The sequence below is a fragment of the Homo sapiens genome, chromosome 2 (assembly GCF_000001405.40).
Source record: "Homo sapiens chromosome 2, GRCh38.p14 Primary Assembly".
In the NCBI taxonomy this organism is placed as follows: domain Eukaryota; kingdom Metazoa; phylum Chordata; class Mammalia; order Primates; family Hominidae; genus Homo; species Homo sapiens.
Window position 1 is genome coordinate 96,010,544 of NC_000002.12, and position 26,647 is coordinate 96,037,190.

Here is a 26,647-nt window from a genome sequence, read left to right on the forward strand (position 1 = left end):
TGACGTCACCGGACGCGCCCGCTTCTCGCTGGAGTGCGCACCGAGCGGCAGTGACTTCGCCGCTGCTGTAGTTCCCCGGCTGGATGCGGTGACTGGTGCCAGTGCTCAGGCGCCCGCTGCCCTTGACCTCCCGCCCCGCGAGCCCTAACTCAGCGCAGGAGGACCGGCTGCCGCCGCCGCCGCCGCCAGGTAGACCAGGCCTGGCTGGGTTAGGCCAGAAGGGTGTCCCTGGCGCAGGTCTCCCGCGGAGGGCAGAACTAGAACCAGGTTCCCGGCCGTTTCCGACCACACGGATGGGGCGGACCCATGTGAGCCCTCACTAATTGCAGGGGACGAAGCTGGGCATATGGGGAAACTGGGGGTTTCCAGGCGAGTGGACGGTGGGATGGGATCCGACGTGCACACCCACGTTTCAGGCTACTGTTTCCACCTCACGTCGCCGCCCCTTTGCTTATGGACTCTTGCAGAGTTGGATTGAGCTCGGACTGTGTGACATAGTGGTTGTTGCAGAAGCCCCAGGGCCACTTTCTGACTAGTACCTTGGGCACCTGACGTCATCCCTTTGAGTCTCAGTGTCCTCTTCTGTAAAGTGAGGGCGCTTTACCTGAGGGGATTGCTGTAAGGTTGGAATGAACCTGCATGTGTGAGTCATGTGGGAAGGGAACAGTCAATGGGGCCTGGGGTTCTCTTGGAGAGCTGGTAACCAGCCTCGTCCCTGAGGCAACAGCCAGAGGGCGCCTGTAGTTTCCCCACGCATGGCTGTTAGCAGGGCCTCTGCAGGATCTCCTGTGGGAGGTCCCTACTTCTCACTACAATCTTTAGGGCCTTTGGAGGATTTCCTATGGAAGGTCCCCACTTCTCACCACAACATTCTGGGTTAAAATGTCCTTGGTAGGAAGATGGGGCTGAAGCTAGATTTTCTTGCTTGCATTACAAGCTTCTGAACCAAGGACTTCAATGTCACCTGGACTTGGATTCACATCCCAGCTCCTTCCCTTCCTAGCTTTAAGACTGTGTAACCTTGGGCAAATCCCTTAACCGCTTTAAGCCTTAACTGTTTCATCTGTAAAATGGGACTAACAGTACCTACCTTCCACAAGCGTCAAGAATTAAATCAGGCCTGGCGCGGTGGCTCACGCCTGTAATACCAACAATTTGGGAGGCCGAGGCAGGCGGATCACAAGGTCAGGAGATCGAGACCGTCCTGGCTAACACAGTGAAACACCGTCTCTACTAAAAATACAAAAATTAGCTGGGCGTGGCGGCGTGCACCTGTAGTCTCAGCTGCTGGGGAGGCTGAGGCAGGAGAATGGCGTGAACCCGGGAAGCAGAGCTTGCAGTGAGCCAAGATCGTGCCACTGCATTCCAGCCTGGGCGACAGAGCGAGACTCCATCTCAAAAAAAAAAAAAAAGAATTAAATCGGACATTGTAGGTAGAGCACTTAATAGTTGGCATTCAGCGGCAGCAGTTACTGTTATGTTAGCATGTGGAGTGTCTGAGTGTGTGCACTTTGGCTCGAACAGCCTTTTGACAGTGGCACAGTTGGTGCTTGTGTAAGATAGCAGGGCAGAGAAGTCAAAACCCTCGGTTTTCTAGTCAAACTGGTGGGCCACAACAGTGGTGACCTAAGTCTAATGAGTCTTTCACTGAACAAGGCAGATTGAATCTCCAGGCGAGGACCAAGAGTCTGGGGCTCAGCTGCCTCAACATTTTTGGGCATAGAAGGCTGTACAATACAAACAGCCTTTGTTGTAAGAGCAAGGAACCATTCAGGGAAGGCACCATGTGGTAAGGAATAGTGGCCAGAATTGGATTCAGAACAAAACAAGAGAATAGTGTTTGTCTTTAAGTGGAGCCTTGGACTCAAAATAGGACCTGAGCTCTGTGGATAATTTCTTTTTTTTTTTTTTTTTTGGAGTTGCTCTGTTGCCCAGGCTGGAGTGTCGTGGCATGTTCTTGGCTCACTACAACCTCTGCCTCCTGTGTTCAAGTGATTCTCGTATCTCAGCTTCCCTAGTAGCTGGGATTACAGGCGCCTGCCACCAGTCCTGGCTAATTTTTTTGCATTTTTAGGGGAGACAGGGTTTCGCCATGTTGGCCAGGCTGGTCTTGAACTCCTGACCTCAAGTGATCCACCCACCTCGAACTCCCAATGTGCTAGGGATTTCAGGTGTGAGCCACTGCGCCTGGCCCTTGTGGATACTTTCTAGGTGATTTGAGGAGGAAAGGCACAGCCATGTCTCCTAAAGTTAACAAGCACTAAGCTTTCCCAAGTAGTGAAATGTCAAGCCTCTGCTTCTGTCACTTATTTGTTCATTCAGCAGAAAGTCACTGAGAGCCTTCTGTACACCAGGCACAGTGCTGGGCAGTGAAAGAGACAGACATGTCCCTGGATCCAGGGAGGAGATGACCAAGTGATGGCTGTCAGGCCCAGACCTTGCTGTTTGTCTGCAGCCTCTTCCCTCAGGCAACTTGTTCTCTATCAGGAGAAATGAAATAATTATTATCTGGAGAGGCAGGTGGGGGCGCTGCTCCTAGAAGACAAGGACAGCCTGGTAGAGGTTCTAGCTTGATCATGTGAGCAGTGGAAACCATTTTAAGTTGGAGGTTAACAGGACCAAAATAGCATTTAAAAAATGGCTTATGGCCACTGTGAAGCCAGTTTCACCAGCATCACTTGCCCATGCTGGGCTGCCACCCAGCTAATTCCTGGTCCTGCTCATTTAGCCCAGCTCAGCTCACATCACTTCCTCCAGAAACTAGACAAGGGTAGAGCCCCTGACCATCTTCACAGCATTAGTCCTGATAGCTGAATCTTACGTCACTTGTTAACATCTGTGACCTGTGCAGGGAGAATGGCAGGGCTGAGTTTCACCTACATTGTTTCCCCAATACCTACAGCAGAGCCAAGCACAGTGGGAACTTTCAGAAAGCACTGGTTGAAGGAACACTGGAATCCCTGGGACTTACTGCGTAGCATGTAGTAGTTGCTCCTGTAGAAAAGTTTCACCTTATGAAGAATAGCAGGTAAAATACAAGCCTGGACCACTTCCCGTGTGGTATGCAGGGAACGGTTGATGGGGCAAAGGGCCTTGGGCTATATAGCCCTAGGAATTTCAGAGATCCTGATGATGGCTCTGGGATCCTCCGTCTCCTGGATCCTGCATTTTTCTCTGCAGGCTCTGATGGTGGTGTCTGGTAGAAGGTTACTCACAGCTCTGCTGCAGGCTCAGAAGTGGCCCTTTCAACCCTCCAGAGACATGAGACTAGTGCAGTTCTGGGCACCCCACCTGGTGGGGCCTCACTTGGGCCTGGAGACAGGGAATGGTAGAGGGATTATCAACCTCAATGCCTTTGACCCCACACTCCCAAAGACAATGACGCAGTTCCTAGAGCAGGGAGAGGCCACCCTCTCAGTGGCAAGAAGGTAAGTAAGTGGGCAGCATCGCCCTGACACAGCTGCCCTGGTCCCCCCACATCCTCCCCGCTCTGGGAAACAGCACCAGCAGGTAGCTCTTTTGCAAGGGAGCAGAGTAACCCCACCTTTCCTTTTCTCCCATTCTCTTAAAAGATCCTTATAAATCTTATATAATAACATCTTCAGTTTTCAGAGGAGAAAACTGAGAGCTAGGGGAGGTGATTAACAATTTGAAGGCCATACATGTGGTGCTGGAACCAGGACTCTATACTTCATCACACTGCCTCCTCTGGGAATGAAGTCCTGGACTGACTGACGGGTCTGGGCCCGGGGGTCCTAAAAGGCATCTTATGCAGCTGGGGGAGTGATATAGACTCCCAGCTCCTACAAGGAGAGAGGACTGCAAGGAGGTTTTCTATAAGACACTTGGTTCCTGGGTTTGGACTAGATTAGGTGAGAGTGTCCCTGAAGCCTGGACTCCTATAGAATCTGGTCTAAGGAGCTGATGAACAATAAATTAAAAATACTTTAAGATGTCATTTTCATCTATTAAAATGGAAAAAAATACAAATGTTTCACAGCTCACAGTATTAACAGTATGTTCCCATATTGCCATAATCTGCAAAGATTGGAAAACTCCATGTCCCTCATTAGGGACTTGGGTATATCTCTATAGAGCAGTAATATGCAGCCACAAGAAATAAAGAGGACACTCTCTATGTATTGTTACATATTGTTAAGCAGAGATCTCCAAAGTCAGTTGTTTTTTTAAAAGATGTGAATAGTATGCTATCATTTGCATACAAAAGGGTGGGAGAAGAATATCCATAGAGTAGCTGCGAAGAGCCAGGGGAACGGGGTAACCGGAAGGGGAAAGGGAAACCTTTCCATGTATTCCAGTTTGTATCTTTTACATGGACATGAGTTACCTAAGGGGGAGAGGAAATCAACACTGGATAAATAAAAGCCCTGCTCTGATAGCAAAGGACAATAGTCAGTGATTTTCACAATGACTCTGATGGTTGATAGAGCTAGGAAATAGATTTCAGAAAGCAAAACCTTTAGCTGCTGCAGGATCTGCCCAGCCTGCCCGGGATTGCCCACCTGTTCCCAGCCAGACCCTCTCACCTGCTCTGGTCTCTACAGAGCCTTGGCTGCCCAGTTGCCAGTCCTACCACGGTCGGAGGTAACCTTCCTGGCTCCAGTCACATGGCCAGATAAGGTGGTGTGTGTGGGCATGAATTATGTGGACCACTGCAAAGAACAGAACGTGCCCGTGCCCAAGGAGCCCATCATCTTCAGCAAGTTTGCCAGCTCCATCGTGGGGCCCTATGATGAGGTGGTCCTCCCACCACAGAGCCAGGTCAGTGCCTCCCCACTGCCCTCCCTAGTCACTGGGCCCATCACAAGGGCATTCTGAGCTCAGTATTGAGCCTACTGGAGCCACCTCTCGCTCAATAGTGCATTCAACAGAAACTCTACAGGATTATACACACAGTAGTAACACTGGCCTTGGAAAAAAAAAGTTAATGTACGTGTTTTCCTGGTTACAAAAGCAATACACCTTCACTGTAGATAAAACAGAGATAAACATTTAAAAATTATGTCACCCATAATCCCACTGCCCATGGCTCAGAATATTAATGTTTTTCTGTCTACCTTCCTATTGTTTCTCCACTCCTGTATATGTTTATACTGTACATATACTTACCTTTTACTTAAGACTCCATCAGGAGCATTTTTTCATGCCATTAAATATTCTCCCTGACATATTTAGGTTACCTTGGAGTTTTGTGATGTACAGGGTAGTTTATATTCCTGAGTACCTTACTGCTGGATACTTGTTTCCAGTTTTTTGTTTCTATAAATAAATGTCGCAATGAACATCCTTATGTAGAAAAGACTTTGCGTGTCCATTAATATATTATTATTTCCTTTTTTTTTTTTTTTTTTGAGACAGAGTCTTTCTCTGTTGCCAGGCTGGAGTGCAGTGGTACAATCTTGGTTCACTGCAACCTCCGCCTCCTGGGTTCAAGTGATTCTCCTGCCTCAGCCTCCCGAGTAGCTGGGACTACAGGCGCATGCCACCACGCCCACCTAATTTTTGTATTTTTAGTAGAGATGGGGTTTTACCATGTTGGCCAGGATGGTCTCAGTCTCTTGGCCTTGTGATCTGCCTGCCTGAGCCTCCCAAAGTGCTGGGATTACAGGTGTGAGTCACCACACCCGGCCTTATTATTTCCTTTGAATAAACTCTTAGGATTTGAATATTATCAAACTACAGGCAGTATTTCAAAACCCTTGAGAAAATCTCCCAATTGTCCTTTAAGCAAATTGTAAGAGCAACTTACACATCCATCGTTAGTGTATATACCCTTACTAACACTGGTTACTTTTCCTCGCAAATTTTTATTTTAGAAATGTCTTGGGAATTATAGAAAAGCTGAAATAATACAGTGAACGCTCATATACTTTTCACCTGGTTTCACTGTAGACATTTGCTGTATTTGCTTTCTCTCCCTTGCCCTCTCCCTGCCCTTCACATGGCAAACACACATTTTTTTTTTTGGCAGGGGTTGGGGTGACACATTGCAAATATTGTCATAAAAACTGAAATAGACATTTTATAAGGACAACGGCTTGCATGACCATACCATTATCACAGCCAAGAAAATTAACTTGAATGATATTTAATATGAAATCCAATTGCCCCAAAGATGACTTTTAATTTGGTTACTTTGTTGCTCTGTGATCAACCAAGGGCACACACTGTATTCAGTTATATCTCTTTAGTAGTTTTAACCTAGAACAGGGTTCCACAGACTGTTTTAAAGGGCTGTATTAGTCTGTTTTCATGCTGCTAATAAAGACATATCCGAGATTGGGCAATTTACAACAGAAAGAGGTTTAATTGGACTTACAGTTCCACGTGGCTAGGGAAGCCTCACAATCATGGCAGAAGGCAAGGAGGAGCAAGTCACATCTTAGGTGGGTAGCAGCAGGCAGAAAAGAGCTTGTGCAGAGAAACTCCCATTTTTAAAACTATCGGATCTCATGAGACCCATTCACTATCATGAGAACAGCACATGAAAGACCTGCCCCCATGATTCAGTCATCTCCCACTGGGTCCCTCCCATAGCACGTTAGAATTATGGGAGCTACAAGTTGAGATTTGGGTGGGGACACAGAGCTAAACCATATCAAGGGCCAATTAGTAAATATTACACTTTGAGTGTCATATGGTCTGTTTTGCAACAATTCAACTCTGCTGTTATAGTGTGAAAACCACCAGGGACGATACAGAAATGAATGATGGGTTTCCAATCAAAGTTGATTATAGCAGACGGTGAGCTGGCCATAGTTTGCCAACTCCTGACCTCAAACAATCCCCCCTGCCCTTTCCTTGAAGAATCCAGTTGTCTCATAGCATGTTTCACATCCTGGGTTTGTCTGGTTGTTTCTTCATGATTAGTGTCAGGGTAAGCATTTTTATCAAGAGATCTACAAAGATGTTATACATTTCCCATTGCATCCCAGAATTTGACCACTTGGTTTAGCTGACGTTCACTAAGTCCCTCCATTGTGAAGATGCATTTCCATTTTTGTAATTAACAAGCAATCTATGTGGTAGTTTGAGATCACATAACCATCTTATTGCCCCGTAGATTCTCATCCAAGGATCCTGTAGTCATCCTTACTGAATCCATTATTGCATTGGGGGATGAAGAACAATGACTTTTCTTTTCTTTTGTGATGGAGTCTCTGTCACCCAGGCTGGAATGTAGTGGCACCATCTTAGCTCACTGCAACCACTGCCTCCCAGGTTCAAGCAATTTTCCTGCTTCAGCCTCCCTAGTAGCTGGAATTACAGGGATGCACCACCACACCCGGCTAATTTTTTGTATTTCTAGTAGAGACGGGGTTTCACCATGTTGGCCAGGCTGGTCTTGAACTCCTCACCTCAGGTGATCCACCTGCCTCAGCCTCCCAAAGTGCTGGGGTTATGGGCATAAGCCACCGCACCCGGCCAAGAACAATGATTTTTCTAAATCATGCAGTTTTTATTAACTGGCATTCTTCTATGAAAAAAGCCTGGCCAGGCACGTTGGCTCACGCCTGAAATCCCAGCACTTTGGGAGGCCGAGGCGGGTGGATCACGAGGTCAGGAGATCGAGACCATCCTGGCTAACACGGTGAAACCCCGTCTCTACTAAAAATACAAAAAATTAGCCAGGCGTGGTGGCAGGTGCCTGTAGTCCCAGCTACTCCGGAGGCTGAGGTGAGAGAATGGCGTGAACCTGGGAGGCGGAGCTTGCAGTGAGCCGAGATCGCGCCACTGCACACCAGCCTGGGCAACAGAGTGAGACTCCATCTCAAAAAAAAAGAAAAAAAGCTGCCTCGCTCTTTATTCCTGTGTCTTCAATATCACTGTGAATTCCTTTTTGTTTTTATTCAATTGGTTGTAATCCATCATTTACATTCTTCAGGTGACCTCAATTTGGCCAATGAGGGACCTTCAAGTTTGTTCCATCCCCAAGCTTTTAGCATATATTTGCTTTCTGGCCAAGACGTTCCAGGCTCATCATGTACTGTCTGTCTTGGACCAAGGAACCCGGTGCTCCTTACTGGGGAGTGGTATTAGAGACCAACATCTGGATGTCAGGTGTACTTATACCAACTCTGGTTATTATTAGAAAGAGCCACCAATTTTAAAGGCCAAATTATATCTATTTTATAGTGTATTTTATGGATTATGGGAGAGGCTGAGCATTTTTTCATGTTTTGTGGCCATGTCCGTTACCTTTTTGTGAATTGCTTACTCAAGTCCTTTGTGGGATCTTTCTCTTACTAAAGTGAGTTAATAGATTAAAACACTTAAAATAGTGCCTGACACACAGTAAGGTTACATATTGCTAGGGGATATTACTTCGTATTTATCCTTTGTTAAAAGTATCCAGAGTGACTTTTAAACTCAGTGCCCTGGACACGTGTTGCTCTTCTGCAGTCAATGGTGTGGGGACCTGTGCCTGCATCCCATGATGCTGTCTGCCACTGCCCAAAATGTATGGGTCTACAAGTCACACCTCCCTTGTCGTTCACTGGGCTCTGGTTCGTGGTGATGGCAAACATGGGATGGCAGCCAAGCCATACTGACAGAGATCCACAGCGTACAGCCTCTGAGCATAGTTAATGGGCCCCAAAGCCACTGCGGCTCACTATTCCTCTCCCACCCTACAGGAGGTAGATTGGGAAGTGGAGCTGGCCGTGGTCATTGGAAAGAAAGGCAAGCACATCAAGGTGAAGTGGAAAAGGTGGGCTCCCAGGCCAGAGTGCAGCAGAGTCCCCAGCTCCTGCCTCTCCTAGTTCTGACCTCGCTCACCAACACATGGTGCCAGCTGTCCCTGACACTAGGAAGCAGTCAGCCTCCTTGCTCCCTGACACTGCCTTTCCCTTCACCCACCTTTGGCTGGCTCTGGCTACTAACATGGGATAACAGCTTTGAGATCCCTTGCCACAGGTGTTGGTGTCACCCATGATCTATCCTCCTGTATGGCCAAATCCCCTGCCCCCATAGGCCACAGATGCCATGGCCCACGTGGCCGGCTTCACTGTGGCTCATGACGTGAGTGCTCGTGACTGGCTAACAAGATGCAATGGGAAACAGTGGCTGCTGGGAAAAACCTTCGACACCTTCTGCCCTCTGGGCCCTGCCTTGGTGACCAAGGACAGTGTAGCAGGTAGGTTCCTGATCCCTGCCCCCTTGTACCTACCATTGCACAGATGAACAGCCCTCCAGGGAGGAGCACGGGTTCAGGTACATGTGGCACCTGCCCTCCCTGGCTGCCCTTTCACTGCTGACTCCATACAGGGAAAGTCTTTTATCCTCAGCCACGAGTTCTCCCATGGGCTTCCTTCCCAAGCCCCCTAGAGGGAACACAACTGCAGAGGATGTGAAACTGCATGCGTGAAGTAAATTACAAAGAACACTGAGCTGATGGGTGGATCGGGCTTCCTGCGGCTGCCACCATCTGAAATAATCTAAGTTGAGCATCATGGAGCATAGCTATCGCAAGGCCCAGGCATTTTCCACACTACAGATGAAAGCCAGTGTGACTCACCCAGCCACTGTGGAAACAACAGCATTGACCACACACAGTGAGGGGACAGCGCCAGGTTGGAGGCAGTGTGCCAGAGGGCAGAGCGCAGCCTCTTAACACACAGCCACCCACAACTGTGGTGGAGGTGGGGGGTGTCCACATGGGCCAGCCATGCCAGGATACCAAAGACCCCAGTGCCTCACAGCACCCACACAGAGTCCTCGGCAAAGTTAAATTGTGTTTCAGGTGCTCTACTTAAGGGTGGTAGAACACTAAGACCAACACCAACAGTTAAAAGTGCTGGTTAGCCAGGATGTTCTTACAGTAATCCATCCCCTGCCAGCATCCGGTACACGAGGCTTCTCTGTCCTGGCTAGAACCATTGCCTCACTGCTTTATAGATGCTGTCTTTTTTTTTTTTTTTTTTTTTTTTTTTTAAGTATGGTCTTACTGTGTCACCCAGGCTGGAGTGCAGTGGCCCAATCCCAGCTCACTGAAGCCTCAACCTCCTGGGTTCAAGCAGTTCTCCCGCCTCAGCCTCCTGAGTAGCTGGGACTACAGTCACGCACCACCATGCCTAATGTTTTTATTATTTTGCATAGAGACAAGCACTCACTACGTTACCCAGGCTGGTTTTGAACTCCTGAGCTTAATCAGTTCTCACCTGCTTTGCCCTCCCAAAGTGCTATGATTACAGGTGTGAGCCACCACGCTTGGCCCTGCCCAGGAGTCATTTTTGTATCTACAGGTATCTTCCTATGCTGTAGACAGATGCCCTTTTTCAAGGCAAAAACCCTAGCCATTTTTCTCTTCTCCTTCAGAGTCTGCAACATCCTCTCAACTCATCCAAGTGACTACTGCCTGGTGCTCTTGGGGATGCAGGGAGGCCTGAGAAGGCCAATGTCTATACAGAAAGTTCTAACATAGTGCACTGAGTCAATGTGGGCACTTTAAAGCCCTTTCACCTGCCAAGTCACGAAGCACCCCTATAGTTGTGTTTGTAAAATACTGGGGGGTTTGAAGGGGAAAAGGGATAACTCCAAGGTACCATCTTTGCATTTCAGATCCACACAACTTAAAGATCTGCTGTCGAGTGAATGGGGAAGTGGTCCAGAGCAGCAACACCAACCAGATGGTATTCAAGACAGAGGACCTGATAGCCTGGGTGTCCCAGTGAGTGACAGGGGCTATCCTGCCAGCCCCGCTCCACCTGCCACACATGTGGAGGCTGACCTGAGCCCTCCACCTTTGGCTGTGGCCACCTCAGCCAGCCCCTGGTCTCACCGGGTCCTTTTGCTTTGCTCCAGGTTTGTTACCTTTTACCCAGGGGATGTCATCCTGACTGGGACCCCCCCACCTCCACCCAGGTGTCGGTGTATTCAGGAAACCTCCTGTCTTTCTCAAGGTAGGTTAGTGAAAAGCAAAGAGAGCAAGGGCCCCAAAGGGCTGGCAGGCTTGGCTCAGACTTGAGAAGTACAGGCTTGTGTACGTGTGTCTGACGGAAGGGCTGACACTCTCATGGCCTGCTCTGTTGCAGAAGGGGGATGAAGTCCAGTGTGAGATTGAAGAACTAGGTGTCATCATCAACAAGGTGGTGTGATGGCTCCTGCACAGGCCCTGCACATAGGATGAGGGCATCTGCTCCCACTCAGCCTAGCCCAGGGAAAGGCCCAGTGACAGGTGTGGACAGGTGCCAGCCCTGCAAGCCGCCTCTTCTCGGTAGAAGGGAGAAGGACAGAGCTCTCTTCAATAAATTCGTCGGGTCAAAGCAGCAGCTTGGCTTCTGCTGTTTGTCTTCGTTTGGGCTTTGTTTCATGGGACAAGTTAGGGCATTTTGTGGGACTGGGGAAGAAGAGAGCAAATACACACACATACACCAAAAAGATGCTGCTGGGCTGGGGAAAAGACAACTCGTCTCGTCCCCTTGTTTATCACATCAAAGAAGGGAAAAAGCAAGAGATGGCAAGGGACAATCAAGCCTCAATGATTATATTTATAGAGCAGCTAAGGGTTTGCAGCCTCCTCTCCATCTTCTGGCTCTAGGACACAGCTGTGTTCTGGGGCTGAGAAGTCTCAGCACAGGCTCCTCCTCACAGTTCTAGCTACAAATGAACTGCCGGATGAACTGTTCTAGTTTTTCCTGATTGTCCAGGCTGGCAAAAGTAGGGGACAGGTGGAGCCTGGGGCCTGCAGGGCTCGGCGTCTGCTGCAGAACCTGGGCCATGGAAGATAAGCCGTGAGTGCGCTCACCACAGGGACTGTGTACACATGGCCCAGGGGCCAGGCCTGTCCCCCAGAAACCTGCCTTGAGACCTCTGGCCCCTTAGACCTCAATGTTTGCGTGCAAATGCTGCCGCAAAGCAGTCCCAATACCCCACCTAGAAAGATGAGCCAGTGATTTGGGAGACCAAGAGGCAGGAAACCATCCCACCTTCTCCAACCCATCACCAAATCTGTTGCTGGAAGACACCAAGTAAATCCCAGGGTCTTAATGAGGCACCATCAGGCCAGCCCTGTGGAGTGATGGGGACATAGCTGGGTTTCCCTGAGCTACTCTATTGGGGTGGGAGCAGGGGGACAGAAGATGGTGACAGTGGCTCCTCTCACCCCTAGGTCTCTGAAGGTCCAGACAGCACTGATGGCGAGCTTTGGGTCCGCACACTCTGGAAAGAAGAGAGAAGTGAAGGCTCTAGGTAGGGAGAACAGAGAGCCACTGGGCACAGGCTTCTCTCCTCTTGTTTAAAGAAGCCCAGGGAGGGATAGAGCTCTGACTGGACAGAAGACTGTACTCTGCAGCCTGCCTTCCTAGAGTTGGGTTGTCACTGTCCTGCAGGGGGCAGCAGCCACCAGCAAACACCACTGCCTGCAGGAGCCTGGGCTGACTGGTTGGGACTCACCGAAGATCCCTTCTTCCTGGGCGGTGGCCTGCAGGAACTGGAACAGCTGCTCTGTGTAGCCCAACTCTGCAGAAGAGAGAAGACCTAGACCTGGCACCCAGCACAGACACAGCCTGCCTCGAGGACTGCAAGGGAACAAGGGCCTCACCAGTATCGGGCAGCTGGCCCTGGCGGAGGAAGGCGGCAGCCTGTGCAAAGGCCTTGAGCAGCGGGCTGAGCAGGCGGCAGAGGAAAAGAAAGAAATCTGGGCAGTGTGACTGCTGGCTGAGCTGGAGGGGACAGGCCGGGGTGAGTGCAGCTCCCCACCGCCTCCCTACCACCTCCCTCCAGGGGCAGCTTTTTGAAACACACCCTGAAGTACCGGCCGTCAGCCTCTCCGAAGTCATCACTGTCACTATCAGTAAAGTCCCCACTCGGTTTCCACAGCAGCTTTCTGCTCAATCGCTGTCGCCCTGTGTCACAGGCTGGCCGGGAGCCTGGGGTCTAGGGGCCGTGGAGCCATTGTTCTCTGACAAGCTGGCCAGGGATCAACCCTACACCCCCAGACCAGGTACATGCAGGTGAAACCAGTAAAAGCAGACCTAGAGACCCAAGAGGATGGCCAGAGCCATGCCCCAGCACCTGCTGGGCCAACTTGCAGAGTGAGAGGAAGTGAATTCCCACCCTCAAGGGCAGTAGCCCTGTGGCCAAGAAATGTGGGGAGCAGGAGGTGTGCAGAGAACCTCAGAGGCACACATGTCCAGTGCTATCCAGAGAGACACACAGAACCGGGGCATAGGTGGCTATATCCCAAGGCACAGGGAGCAGAGGTGCGAGCTAGGCTTCCCCGCTGCAAGGCCAGGGGCTGCCCACCCCCACAGCACACACGGGGCAGAGGAGGAGCCTGGGGCAGCTGGCACTCAGGGTGGGAGGCTGGAGGAGGCCAGGCTCCAGGCAAGGATCTTGTCTCCAACTGCCCTGCCTACCTCCTCAGCAACCAGGAGCCCGCATTGGATGAGCCGGTCCAGCACCTCCTGACAGTAGCAGTAGGAAGACTGGCAGGGCTGGGAGAAAAAGGCACCCATGTGGCCTCAGGAGAGCCAGGCACATGGGCAGGGGCCTAGCCAAAGACCGGGCAAGGCCACACCTACTACCCAGGAGGTTTCAGAGGTAGAGCATGGGCAGGGATGGGCCATTCCTACCACCAAGAGGGGAAGGCCTAGGACCAAGTGGGCCGTAGGGGAGGCCTGACCTTTAGCAGCAGCAGGTCTTGCGGCAGCAGGTGCATCAGCAGCAGGATCTGGCGGTACAGCTCATTCTGGCTCAGCAGCAATATGCCCTGCAGCTCCCAGGGCCCCTGGGGCGGCACTCTGCCTGCCAGCAGCCCCCGCACTGCACAGGCTGGGGGCGGAGGGTCCATTATGAAGAAGGAGCCGTTCCCTTCACCACTGCACACACATCCCACCTACCCCGTGCACCTCAAGACTCACCGCCCACAGCCTCGCTCAGGAAGACGGGCAGCAGCTCAGCACTCAGTTGTGCCAGGTGTGTGAGGCCTGGGCCAGGCTGCGGCACCACCAGCAAGTCACCCTGACGGATGCGCAGCAGGGCCACGTGCGCCCGCAGCAGGCTCAGTGAGTGCTGCAGCAGGCTCCGCAGCTGCCCAGAGAAGCCTACATCAAAGCCACGCAACAGTATCTCCTCCGTCAGCCAGGAGAACTCCCCCAGGAGCTGCGACAGGAACACACCCTGGGTGGGCAGAGCAGGGCTAGGCAGCAGGGCCACACATCGCCACCCCCCCCACCGCCCAGGTCCCCACCACATTGCACCCCCTACCTTCTGATGCTTGAAGAGCAGCAGCGTTGCCATAATGGCCGTGCTCATCACCGCAGAGCTCCCTACACTGGCTGGAGTGGGGCGGGGGGTGGAGATGCTGGTCAGGTTGAGGCCCAGCAGCCTGGTCCCTCCATGATCTAGCAAGTCTTCCTAGCCACACATCCCAACTCCACCCCAGGGATGAGGAACGTACACCCGGAGCAGTGGTGTTTATCATCACACAGGCTGAGAGCAGGCCAGGAGCTGGGGGCCTTCCCCTGGATCTCATCGTAGGGCCCACACATCAACCCACAGCCTCTACTAGAGGGGCACTGAAGAAGATACAGATGGATCTCCCTATAAGGGCCCTCTGTGGAGGCGCTGTGCTAAGCCCCTTACACGTATCATTCCATTCAGTTAACACCATCTCCACCCAAAGCTAAGGAGACTCCGCTCAGAAGGCAGGGCTGGGTGTGGCCTTGGGGAAGCAGCTGCAGCCTCCTGGCCTCAGGCCACCATCTTTGTGCATGCACTTAGCTGCTCCCTTATGATGGCCCTGGCTGCCTGCTCCTCCTGTAGGAGAAGGGTTCCATTCTTCTTCAGATGTCCCCAAGGTATCACAGAGCACCTCAGGTGCAGACACTTGGAATGGAGAACCCTGGTGACTGGCTGACCCCGAGAGGGGACGGTTCAGTGACCCACCCGCAAAGGCCCAGATCTGGTTCACCCTCACCACTCAGGACATGACAGCTCAGTCTCCTGACCAGGAGCTGGTCCTCTTCCTTGAGGGCCAGGAGAGGCCCAGTTATGGGGGTCCACTCCTGCTCCTTCTCAGTGTCTGGGACAGCAGTACTGAGATAGAGACACAGATTACAGGATGAAGGGTCCAAACACAAAAACAGCTGTGGGAATGCCTAGAGCTTTCTAAAAGGTGAGGGTGTTTCCCCCTCCCAGCCCCAGGACAGAGGATGGCTTCTATAACCCCCAGTCCCATCCAGGCCTCTGTGCCATACCCCACACTCAGACTGTTGGCAAGGCGAGTACCTGGAACTATTCTAGATGACCCCAGGATACTTGGTGAGGGAGGGCTGCTAGTGTGTGTATATGGGGGATACATAAGCTGGTGCTGAAGGGCTGCTTGCCTTGCCCCCTGAGACCCCACGCTCCTGTGCCCCTACCATTGGCCCAGCACGATGGGCTGCAGTAGCTGCTCCAGGGTCTGTCTGCCGCCCCAGCAGCTTCTGGCACTGACGATGTATTCCTGCCCAAGAGAAGGCTCTTAGGTGGCCTGCTCGGGCCCACCAGGAAACTTGCACACAGCCCACTGGAAGTAGGCAAAGCTATCCCTGCAGTGGCTTTGAGGGCCAGGCTGCCAGGATGCCTAGGACAGACACCCCAGGTACTCCCAGCCTTCCCCAGCTGGCTCCATACCTGCAGGGAAAAGGGCTGAGCTAGGTGCACCCGGGAGCAGATCCGGTGGCTGCAGCCCCAGCGGCTCCACAAGCTACGTAGGACAGCCAGAGCTCCTGTCCACAGCCCCAGGGGGGCCGAGGCCTGCAAGGAGGGAAAGGATAACTATACTCGCCGAGGACACTGCTCTCGGGCGGACATCAGGGCTGCCCACCCATCCTGGTCTCCAGAGGTATCCTCTGGTCCCACCCTGCTCAGTTTTATCTCAGGCCCAAACTGGTGCGTGACCTTGTCCCAAGCTCCTCTTTCCTTATCCATGACACAGGAAAAATCCCTCCCTATCAAGGTCTTCAGAGGATGAAATGAGATGATGGTAATGGCCTTGACAGGTGCTGCCAGATGATTGTAAGGACGATTCCTTTGTGCCCCCCACAGCCCTAAGTGGGGCTCAGCCACAGGACACAATATTGTGCCTCCTATCGGGAGCTGGTGTCCACCTAGGGGCCCAAGGGGCTGGAAGGTCTCACATTCTCACATGGTCTATGTCACACGGTGCATCCGGAACCAGGTCATAGGTGACGGCCACTGGTACCAGCAGAGCATCTGGGACGATGCCCACCTGGACTGCCTGCACCACAAACCCCACCCAAGCCTGGCCCAGGGCTGACAGCCGTGGCCCCAGAGCCCCAGGAGGTTCCTCCAGGAAGATGAGCAGGGGCTGCCCACTAACCAGCAGCTGCTCTATGACCTGGAATAGGAGGGGTCAGAGGGGGTGTTAAGGCCAGAGCAGAAACAGACCCCTGTCCCCTTAGCCTGGCCCATATGTAACCACTGGGGGCACTCACCGCCTGGACCACAGCCCTGGCAAGGAGCCCCTCAGAGCTGTCCAGGGAGAGGCTGGCCTCTGGGGGCAGGAAAAGCCCCCCAAGCTTCCTCAGCAGAGCTCTGTGGGACATAGGGCAGAGCCTGATAAGGAAAGGGGCTCTGAAGATGTGAATGAGTAAGGGGCTAGTGAGAGTCTCAGCTCCCCCATGGCCAGCCTGTGTCCTACTTGAATACCCTGAGGCAAAGCCATGGCCCTAGGCCCTGTGGCTGACACCTCCATCTAAGCCCCACAGGCTAGACTGCTGTATGGCTCGGAGCAGAGAGGCCACGAAGAGGGCCTTTAGTAGGGAGCTGCTGCCAACACACCCCGATACACACCCCGCCCCAGCCTGCGACTTCTCCCATGTATGTCTAGAGGCAAAAGGTTTTTACCTGAGGGCAGGGGAGCAGGCGCGGGAGTCCCAGGCCACACGAAGCACACCCAGGCCCTGGGAGAGCAGCATAAAGGGCAGCAGGATCCCATCCAGGAGGGTTTTGTGAGTAGAGAGGAGGACAAGCGGCAAGCCCTGCTCCGGGGAGAGCCAGAGGGAAGTGCCAACCTGCCCCACCCTGAGGACACAGGCAGCCAAAGACCCAGGGCAGCCCCAGAGGGAGGGACAGTTCAGCTGCAGAGTTCTTCCTCTGAGCACATTTCCCAAAAGCAAAGGAGCCTTTAGACAACTCTTAAGGTAACTGCACCGACGCACTGACGTCATGGTTGTTAAGACCATGATGGAAAGACGTTAGAGGAAGCCCCATGGGAGCAGGGCCGTGAGACATAAGGGAAGGTCGGCAAAGAGCAGGGGATTTTTCCCACCAGCTGATGGGGACTGGACTGCTGTATGGCTGGGAACAGAGAGGCCAGGAAGCAGGACCAGATGGGGACTGCTCCTGACTTAAGGGCTTGGCCCAGCCTCTGCTCTTCTGCTCCCACCATCCCCAACCCAATGGAGGGCGGGCCTTACTGCCTGGGCGGCCTTCTGGACCATCTTCATCTGACCCTTGTGGAGCTGCACATTCAGGAACAGGCAGTTCAGGAACCTCAGCAGCGCCCAGCTGAACAGCCTGGGGAGGGACACCAGGCCTGAGGTGCGGCAAGGAGTGACGCTCGGCCCGTGGCACTTGGAGGGCTGCCCAGTGCTCCTTAGGGCAGGCCCCGCCACTATCCTCATTTTACAGAAGAAGGAAAGTGAGACTCAGGGAAGCTACAGAACTGCTTCCTGGTAGTGAACGCTAAGAAGTAGCAGTGCTGGGACTGGAAGTTCTGACACCAGAGTTCATGCCCACCAGACGCTGCTACTCTCCCACGACCTCATGGTGGAGCTGCCTCACATCAGAATCAGAGCATCTGCCTCAATTTACCCTAAAGGAGACTAGAGGACCAAGCCTCTCTCCAGGCAGAACCCAGCCTGGTCTTCACAATCTACCAGAAAAGGTGAAATAAAAAGGAAGGATTAGTAATAGAAGAAGGAAAGGGGATAACTGCAGGGGCAAAATCCCTGGTGGGCAGGTGGGTGGGGTTGTCCCTGCAGCCCAACAGGAGGACCAGCTCTATTTATTTTTTAGGACAGGGTCTTGCTCTGTTGCCCAGGCTGAAGTGCAGTGGCACAAACTTGGCTCACTACAACCTCTGCCTCCTGGGCTCAAGCGATCCTCCCACCTCAGCCTCTCAAGCATCTAGGACCACAGGCACGCAACAGTGCACCCGGCTAATTTTTGGAGAGACAAGTTTGCCCTGGCTGGTCTATGTCGCCCAGGCTGGTCTTCAGCTCTTGGGTGATCCACCCCGCTCAGCCTCCCAAAGTGCTGATATTACAGGTGTGAGCCACTGCACCGGCATAGGACCAGCTTTAATTTAGGACAGACACATAGCTGTAGTAGCAGGGAAATGTGCTGGATAAGCAGCAAGTCCCCATGTGATGGCTTTTATCTTTCTGTGAAGCATGAGATGGGGAATCAGTTGACAGTGGATAAGTCTAAGAAGGAGCAGGCTGGGTGGGAGCCCTGGAGAGTGCCATGTGTCCCTGTGACATTTGCACTTAGCAAGGAAACCAGTCCACTGGTATGTGTTTCTCTGGCAACGCTGGGCTGCTCAGGTGCAAAGAGAAGGTAGACAGCGGGGGGTCATGCCCATGACTCCCTCGAAAGAGCATTATTAGCACCCCGAGCCTGCAATCTGAGCTAGGCTTGGAGGGAAGGAAACACAGAAAGGGAGGCTGATGGCTGATGTCAAGGTAGGCAGATCAAGAGACTAGAACAGCAGAGGGCTGGTCAAGGTCACCAACAACCTCTACTTTCTGTCCTTGCTCAGTTGGCCACTCAGCACATTCAAGACAGCTGAGCTTGACACATGCTGCCCCCAAGCCCACCTGTACTCAGGGACTCATTCATCTCCTTGGCTTTAAACACCATCTGTATGCTAAAGCCTCGCAGTGTCTCTGGCCCCAACCTCTCTTCTGAGCTCCAGGCTCCTATATGCAGCTGCCTCCTCAGTGTCTCCACAAGCATGTCAGGTACCAAAACTCTCTCTCTCCAAACTACCTTTTTGGGCCAACTCACTTCTCCCAAAGCCTGTTCTCTGTCCATACCACCAGAAAGTAGGCTAGAAACGGGGCTGTCCTGTAACTTCTCCTACTTCCCTCACTGCCCCTGTTCCCACTGTCCAATCCCTCAGTGAGTCCTGTTAATATCACCTCGACCTCTCAATCCACTTTTCAACCTCTACTGTCCACCATGATCTCTCACCTGGATTAACAAAACAGCCTTCCAGATGCCCTTCTGGTCTCCACTCTTGACCCCAATTCATGATGTCACTTCCCACTTAAAACCTTGCAACTGGTTTTCACTGCACTTGGAGATCCAGTCCAAACTTGCACGGCCTTACATGATTTGATCCCTTCTGCCTCTCGATTTCACCTCCCACAGCTCTCGACCCCTCACTTGCTGGCTTCCAACCACGTCAGCTTCTGGAGCAAACCTAGTCCTTTCCTGCCCAGGGCCAAAGCTCAGGCTATTCCCTCTAGCAAGACTGTTCGCCTCATTCTTGTTCGCCTTTTCTTCCTCTTGGCTCTGGCTTACAGGCTCTTTGTCCCCTTCCTGGTATTCTGTCTCAGCCCTGTTCCTTCCTCCTTGCAGCCGCGCATATCTCGTTTACCCTCCGTTTCCCTGGAACAGTGTGCTGCATCTAACATAGGCTCCAACCTGTGCTGGCAAAATGTGGGGATGGGAGGCGGTGGTGAAGGCAGGCTGCAGCCCACTCTGGTAAACACTATCCAGCAACCCAGGAGGAGAGTCCAGCACTTCCCCAAGCCCGGCCAACACCCGCTCTCCAGAAGGACAGAGTCCCCAGCCCAAGGGTGAGTGCCCTTCAGCCCAGTTACCTGACCAGGAAGGGACGGGGTGGGGCCTGGATGTGACCCAGGATGCGCTGTACCTCCTTCTTCACAAGGTCAGGCACCTGGCCTTCCCCAGTGCCTCCTGGGACCCTCCCTGAGAGGAGGTTCTGCACCCTGTGAGGGGGTTAGAAGGAGTGCTATGAGGCTGCAGCAGGGCACAGCCTCCAGTCTTCACTCTCCTCCTTAAGGAAGGGTTCCAGGCAAAGCTCATGCTCTAGAAGCCTTGCCCCAGCCACCCCTCTCAAACACCCCTACCTAGTGTCATTGTCATCCCATTCAGGATCCCAGAAATGCCAGCCAGACCTCACTCCCTGCCTCCTCACCCGGTGCTTTCCATGATCTTCTGTGGGACATCCTGGCAGGGGGGGATGTGCTGCTCCAGGGACCACAGGAAATAGCAGAGCCTCCGAACCAGCCAGCCCCGAAACCTGGGCACAGCTCCCAGAGCAGGAGGGAAGATCCTTCAGAGAGGGCCCACCTCCACTAGGACTCACAGAAGGCTATTCAATCAGAAAGGGACCACACCCCAGACCCATGTACTAGGAACACCTGAGCAGGAAGAGCTGCCTGTCCATCTGTGCCCCATTCCCACCCCTCACCCTGTTGAGTCGGGTACAGGTTCACAGCCTGAAACACGGTGGGCAATCCATACATGCTCACAGAAGGAACTGCAAGAGAGCTCCAAGTCTGCCCCTCCCTGCAGGCTTGTGTATGGAACAGAGGACGGGGCCCTTCTTTCTCTATCAGAGGAAGAAAATGGCACCAAAAAGCAGGGCCCCAGCAGCCCTGCACCCAAGGGTCCCTGTCCCCAAGCCTGCTCCAGTCCATAGCTCTGACTACCTTGTGTTCTCCTCCTTCACCAGGATCACATTGCAGAAGCCTAGGTCCGTTATGCTTCTGTGGAAGAGGGACTCCTGCAAGACAGGGGGAGAGACAGCATGTCCTGGGGGGCCTTTGCAAACTGGTAAAGAAACGCCCCTGTACTGCCCCTCTGGCTCTGCCTGGTGGCCTGCTAAGTCTTCCAGGAGAAAAGATTACAGCACAGTATTTCACAAAAGGTGTTTGACCCCAGATTCTAGGCTGGCTCAGGAAAAAGGGGCCCATGCTCAAAACTGAAGTGCTGTATCCTGTACAGAATCACCCTCTTTCAGAGTGGTATATGAAAGTCTCCAGAAGTTATCTTCTCAACAGCAGAGAAAACGCAGCCTGGGTCTCCATGAGAAATCTGGGCTCCCTCACCACCATCACATGACACAAACCAAAAAAGAGGTCTTCAAGCATGTGCTGAGTGCTGGGGAAGTCTGAGTGGGTGATGTCCACAAAACTGAACAACAAAACTGACACAGGCATGATAAGAACCCAGCCCTCTGGGCACACCCTACCACCACTTAGGCCCCTCTGTACTTCTCCCACCCAACTCTCCCAGGCCTGGGAACAAGCCACCGCCCAACCATACAACCAATACCAGTGCATCCATTCCCCTGAAAGACAGAAGCAGAGGCATGGGGCAGGGAAGAGCCAAGCTTGCAGGGACATAAAGGAAGCAGCTTCCCAGAGCTTCGGCTCCCAGAACCAAGCTTCCTGCTTGGGGCCTGGCCCTACCATCACTCACCCAGCTCTTGGGGGTGCAGGTCTGGCAACAGCGACCCACAAAGGGGCGATACTTCCCCAGGAATGGAGTGACAGCCTCCAGCTTCATCCCAAAGCCTGACGACCACAGGCTAGCCTGGAAAGGGCGATGAGGAGAGATGAGAGGACTCAAAGTCCTTGGCAGGAGAGAGGGAAAGATGGAGCAATGGAGGCTCTAGGAGTGAGGGGCACAGCAGAAGGGGTGGCAGGGCAGAGAGGATTTGAGGAATGGGAGGAGCCACATTACCTCTCGGCCACTGGGGCTGCTCCTTGGCTGAGTTTGGCATCTGCCTTCCAACATGGTGGCCATGAGAGCCTAGAAGAACCATGAACCAGTCACCTCTGGCACTCTCCTTCTCCCCACAGAAACCTGAGCCGGGGAAAGGTGCAAGGATGGAGCCATAAGAATCTGAGCCATAATCCAGGGCCTCCTGCGGTAACTGCAACCCCCCATCACAGGACAGACAGACATCACTTAGGCCATTAGTGGTGAGGAGAACCTAGGCTGGAAACTAGGGGCTGGCTCAGGTCAAGGCCCTGCCCCACACCCAACTGATCCCACAAAGGAGCCAGCTGTCCTCAAAAGGTCTCACAGTATCCAGGTCAGGGCCCTCCTCGGGCCAACATGAGGGGGATCGGTTGTCTTAGCATCCACACCCACCCGGCCATCTCCTAGCACAGATGGGGGCTGTACCGGAGATGCTGATCCTTTCTGTGCAGAGGGAAAGAATGAGGGCTGGATTGGAAGGAAGGAGGCACAAGACTGCCAAGGAGGAAGAAGACTATCGCCATGAGGCCACCAGGTCCTACTCAGCTGCCCTCCCCTCCTCACCAGGAGACAGCCCTGTAACCACCCAAACATTACGGGAATGTGGGCTGGCTAATAGAAGAGGGACAACTCAGGGTCAGAACACAGAGGCCTACTCACCAGGAATGAGCATCTAGTTGGGGACAAAGACAGACTTTTCCACAATCACTCCCCTCTCACATTAACGTTCTCCACAGAAGACGCCACTTGTATCTCCTCAGCCCCTCCTTCCCACCACAATATTTCCCTGAACTAATAAATACCTATGTTCCTTCAAACAGCACTGAACGACTCCTGGCTCAAAAATTTGGGCCTAAAAGCCCCTCTTCCCTATTTGTCAGCACGACCCTGATGAGTGGGCTGGTCTAATCATGTTTCCCCATCCCTACCACACTTCGATCAGGCCCATCTAGGAGCCTCTCCCTTCCCAGCCACCCACCCAATTCTGCCCAGGGTTCTAAGTCCACGATGCTTCTGGAACACCCTCTAAGCCCTCCCTCTCCTCCTTGGGTTCCCCAGCCCAAGCCTGCCCGGCAAAGAGCCATTCGAAGCCCTCCTCCAGGGCTATGGTTTCATCTCCCTACGTGGTCAGAGTGTCCTGAGGGCAGGGACTCATCTCTGTATGTCCAGCAGTCTGCCCGGTGTGCAAGAGGGAACCAGGAAGAGCCAGCTGACCCACAATAACTTCCTCCCAAGAATTCTCCAGGCGCGTTCCTCCTTTCCCCAGTCAGCTCGGTTTCCAGCCAGGAAGCCAAGCAGTAATGGGATCAGGATCCCTGCAGTGCCCAGGGTCTCGGGGGCCACGGGAGGCTCATCCCAAAGGCACTCTGTTATCTTGAAAATGTTGCATAGCCCTGTTCACAGACACATGGTACAGGAAGGCTACAAACCCACGCCCGCTTTGCAAGGAGGGTGTCTGTCCCCTAGCTGCAGACCACCCCCAACCCCCAAATCTAACCCCATTAGGTCTGTGCTAGCTCTACGGAAGCAGAGTCAAAGCCATGGCAAGGGGTTATTCCCATCTGCCAGTTAACAACACAGCTCAGGACTCCTACAGCAGAGGATGCAAACTGGCACCCCGAGGGCAAATTCAACTCATAGACACATATATATACACACACATATATACATATATAATACATATATACATATATATACACACACATATATACATATATAATACATATATACATATATACACACACATATATACATATAATACATATATACATATATATACACACACACACACTTCTTTGACTACACAACGTGCTAAAACCTTATGATGTAAAACCAACGTTGAACAGCAGAGGGCTTGTTACATATACATTTTTTGAAAATCAAGGTTTCCAGTCGCGGCTGTAATGGAAAAAGCTGAGCTCTGGCATCTCTGAGCACACACCCCACAGGGCTCAGCTGGCCGCCACTGTCCCTTTAGCCCGACAGCAGGAGCCCTCCCGTTTGCCTCCACCTTGATTATCACTGACGCCTGAGCCTGTGCACATCTGAGCGTTCAGCCCTTGATCAAGGGTAAAACTCTAAACCTGCCCCCACGTTTGGAATGCTTGTGCCCTACAGAGAGCCGCAAGAGAACTTCACCTTCCCGGCTCTGCTCAAACATGGCCTCGGCGCCCCACAGCCCCCGCCCAGGGCCCCTCAGGCCTCAGCTTCCTCGTCAGACCCGTGACAGGCGCTCCCCGAGCTACCCCAAGATGTGCGAAGGGCACCTGCCCGACATCAGGTCCTGGATGCCCTCTCTGGATGTAGGGGAACGGGATGCCGAGGAAGAGGCAAAGCGGGGCTCTCCACAACACCACGCCCCACAAGGACTCATTCCCGCCACAAGACCCGCATGGCCGGCACTCCCTCCCTTTCGACTTCCGCCCAGTCCCCAACAGGCCGCTCAGACCAGGCTCTTGAAGCAGGAAAGCCCCTGGATGATCCCGGTCCCCTTCTGACCTGGCCTCGCCGGGGAGCGACCACCGCGCCTCTCACCTCACACCAGCTTCCAACTCCCGCCAAAGCAGCAGCTCCGCAAAGCCGCCACAAGGCGTGGACTGCTCAAGGGAAGGAGCGGATTGCCCACCTCCGCGCGTCCGGCTAAAAGGCAGCCCCGAGAGCCAATTGGGATGCGCGCTGGTCCAGAAGCCCCGCCCTGCGTCCCGTACTCTGCGACACTCAACGTGGCCACGGGACCCGTGCTCTGGGGATGGCCTGCTCCGTTTTCCAGTCGGCCCTGGCCCGCGGTGGGAGGGGAGTACTGCAGGCGGCCGCGAGGCCCCGGGTGCTTGAGCTTCGAGCAGGGACTCAGGCCAGATTCTGATTAAAGAAGTTATCCCAGGGCTTACGCTCCTCCAAGCTGGGGTTCGGCTCTAGCAAAATTCTGAGCTGGGGACGATTAGAAAGGAGAGAAGATCATCAAGAGACAGTTGCAGTCATGAAAAACAAGTCAGGCCTCCCAGTGTCATTTCCTTTGTTAATGTGAAGCCTAGACCACCGTCAGGGACCTCCAGCAGCCGCGCGGTGCTAAGGTTTCAGCTGGGCCTGTGGCCGGTGTGTTCATTCGTGTGGTTATTTGATTAAGACCTGACTCCTGTCTCGGCCCTAAGCTCCGCGTAAACAAAGACCTTATGGGTTCATTCATGTTGTAACTGTGTTCCCAGCACCCAGCAGGAGACCAGCCAGTGGGAGGCAAGCAGTATAGAACAGATGAACGTGCGAATGACTGGGCTCTCTGTTCCTGCCCCCATGGAATGAGCCCGCCTGACATGCCAGAGGATTCCACAGTTCCAGAGCATGTGACACACGTGTGCCGGAGCAAAGCCACACATGAGCCTGGCGGGGCCCAAGACAGCACAGAACGTGTTCACATCCTCCCTCGTCTCTGACTCACCAGCCCTGATGTGACTCCCACACCCTGCCCCTCCGGGATGTAGCCTTTCTCTCCCTTTGTGCCATTTCGTGTCTATCCAGGCTGTGTGTGCATCCACTCACCTTCATTGGGATTTGCAACGTCCTCCCGGTACCTGCAGAATCCATTTTGTACCCCATCTTACCGTTCTTTTGTATCAGGGTGCCTGTCCACATCGAGATCCTGAGACTCTGACGCTGAAAAACGAAAAATATAGACTTTCACTTCGAAGTTGTAAGTTGCCTCCTAAGAGTGCAGACTTGAATTTACCGAAGGCTGACGCCTCTTAGTTCTGGGAACACCATCTGTACAGGCAGCCGAGTTTTGCCGTTGTGAACACGTCCCCACCTCTTAAGGAGTTCTCATGCTGAGAAGTAGCCCCAAAGCAGAGACTTTAGACTAGAAGGTTGCATGGATTGACTGTAGAGACGAGGCGCAGCATCTCAGAGTTCAGCTGTCAGATGTGCTGCTTCTTTGGAAGAAACGTATTTTGTTATGGTGGTGGTGGTTGTTTGCTGCAATTTGGACATTTGAAAAGAAGCATCCCTCTCAGACCCAGATTGGGTCTGGGACCGAGGACTCAGTGTGCTCTTTCTCCCTCAAGCAGTTTGCAGGAGAGGCAGAGCTGCAGTGCAGCAAGACCTGTAGGCCAGCTGCCATACACACTGATTGTGACTGACCCGACCCTGAGAGAAACATAAACTGATTTGAGCTGGGCCCTGCCCAACCTGGACTGGACTTGGTGAGCCCCATCCTGGACTCATGCCAGAATGCATTACCCAGAATATCCTGATGCACCTAACTGACTGCCTGCGCCCAGAGGGACAAAGGCCCTCCCTGTGGCTGGGGGCAGGTGTTCCCTGAAGGCACTGACAGGCCTTTCTCCTGTATATCACCTGGAGAAAAGGACTTGAGCTGGCATTAGAATGGGCAGAGGGGCTCTTGCCAGTCTGTCTGGGGACCACCAGCGGGGCAGAGAAAAGGAGATGTGATGTTTAATTTTAGGTGTCAGCTTGACTGGGATACCCAGATACCCAGAGAGCTGGCAAGGCATTATTTCTGGGTATATCTGTGAGGGTGTTTCTGGAAGAGACTGGCATTTGAATCACTGGACAGAGTAAGGAATATTCACCTTCACCCAATGGGGGCAGACACCATCCAATCGGTTGAGGGCCTTGATAGAAAAAAGGCAGAGGAAAAGAGAATTTGCATGCAGGCTCTCTCTTTCTTCCCTTCTCTCTCTCTCTCTCTCTTCCCTTCTCTCTCTCTCTCTCTCTCTCTCTCTCTCTCTCTCCTGCAGCTGGGACAGCCATCTTCTCCTACCCTTGGACATTAGATCCAGGCTTTGGGTTCTATAACTTGGACCAGCAGCACCCCCACCCACAGGTTCTCAGGCCTTCAAACTTGGACTGAGCTACACCA

At 53.0% G+C, this 26,647-nt stretch overlaps 2 protein-coding genes and 1 pseudogene across 28 annotated transcripts; 2 read left to right on the forward strand and 1 right to left on the reverse strand.

Moving 5' to 3' along the window:
• Nucleotides 8–12,593, forward strand: FAHD2CP (fumarylacetoacetate hydrolase domain containing 2C, pseudogene; annotated as a pseudogene). The gene is made up of 4 exons (NR_003698.1): nt 8–189; nt 10,582–10,690; nt 10,825–10,922; nt 12,131–12,593. The product of NR_003698.1 is annotated as a fumarylacetoacetate hydrolase domain containing 2C, pseudogene (transcript).
• LOC124900512 (fumarylacetoacetate hydrolase domain-containing protein 2B-like) lies at nt 201–9,100 on the forward strand. 2 transcript variants are annotated; one of them, XM_047446740.1, is made up of 4 exons: nt 201–3,428; nt 4,566–4,782; nt 8,658–8,731; nt 8,938–9,100. In XM_047446740.1, exons 1-4 carry the CDS (start codon nt 3,079–3,081, stop codon nt 8,954–8,956), a joined length of 660 nt encoding a protein of 219 aa, XP_047302696.1. In that variant the 5' UTR covers nt 201–3,078; the 3' UTR covers nt 8,957–9,100. The 2 variants fall into 2 exon arrangements, with proteins under 2 accessions (XP_047302696.1, XP_047302695.1); XM_047446739.1 differs by having other exon boundaries at nt 8,658–8,717.
• On the reverse strand, nt 11,403–25,722 carry GPAT2 (glycerol-3-phosphate acyltransferase 2, mitochondrial). Of its 25 annotated transcripts, none has more exons than XM_047443468.1 (22): nt 24,310–24,702; nt 21,754–21,822; nt 21,490–21,603; nt 20,718–20,791; nt 20,201–20,305; nt 19,863–19,991; nt 17,448–17,547; nt 16,876–17,009; nt 16,464–16,563; nt 16,154–16,366; nt 15,640–15,762; nt 15,387–15,469; nt 14,942–15,060; nt 14,230–14,300; nt 13,884–14,124; nt 13,646–13,794; nt 13,380–13,457; nt 12,766–12,897; nt 12,563–12,683; nt 12,415–12,480; nt 12,125–12,180; nt 11,403–11,732 (listed from the first exon to the last, which is right to left on the reverse strand). In XM_047443468.1, the coding sequence occupies exons 2-22, from the start codon at nt 21,814–21,816 to the stop codon at nt 11,616–11,618; spliced, it is 2,388 nt and encodes a 795-aa protein (XP_047299424.1). In that variant the 5' UTR covers nt 21,817–21,822; nt 24,310–24,702; the 3' UTR covers nt 11,403–11,615. The 25 variants fall into 25 exon arrangements, 22 of the variants coding, with proteins under 22 accessions (XP_047299424.1, XP_047299422.1, NP_001308454.1 ...); XM_047443466.1 differs by having other exon boundaries at nt 21,754–21,876; NM_001321525.2 differs by having other exon boundaries at nt 13,884–14,142; nt 24,310–24,373.
• Nucleotides 25,723–26,647: the final 925 nt, after the last annotated feature.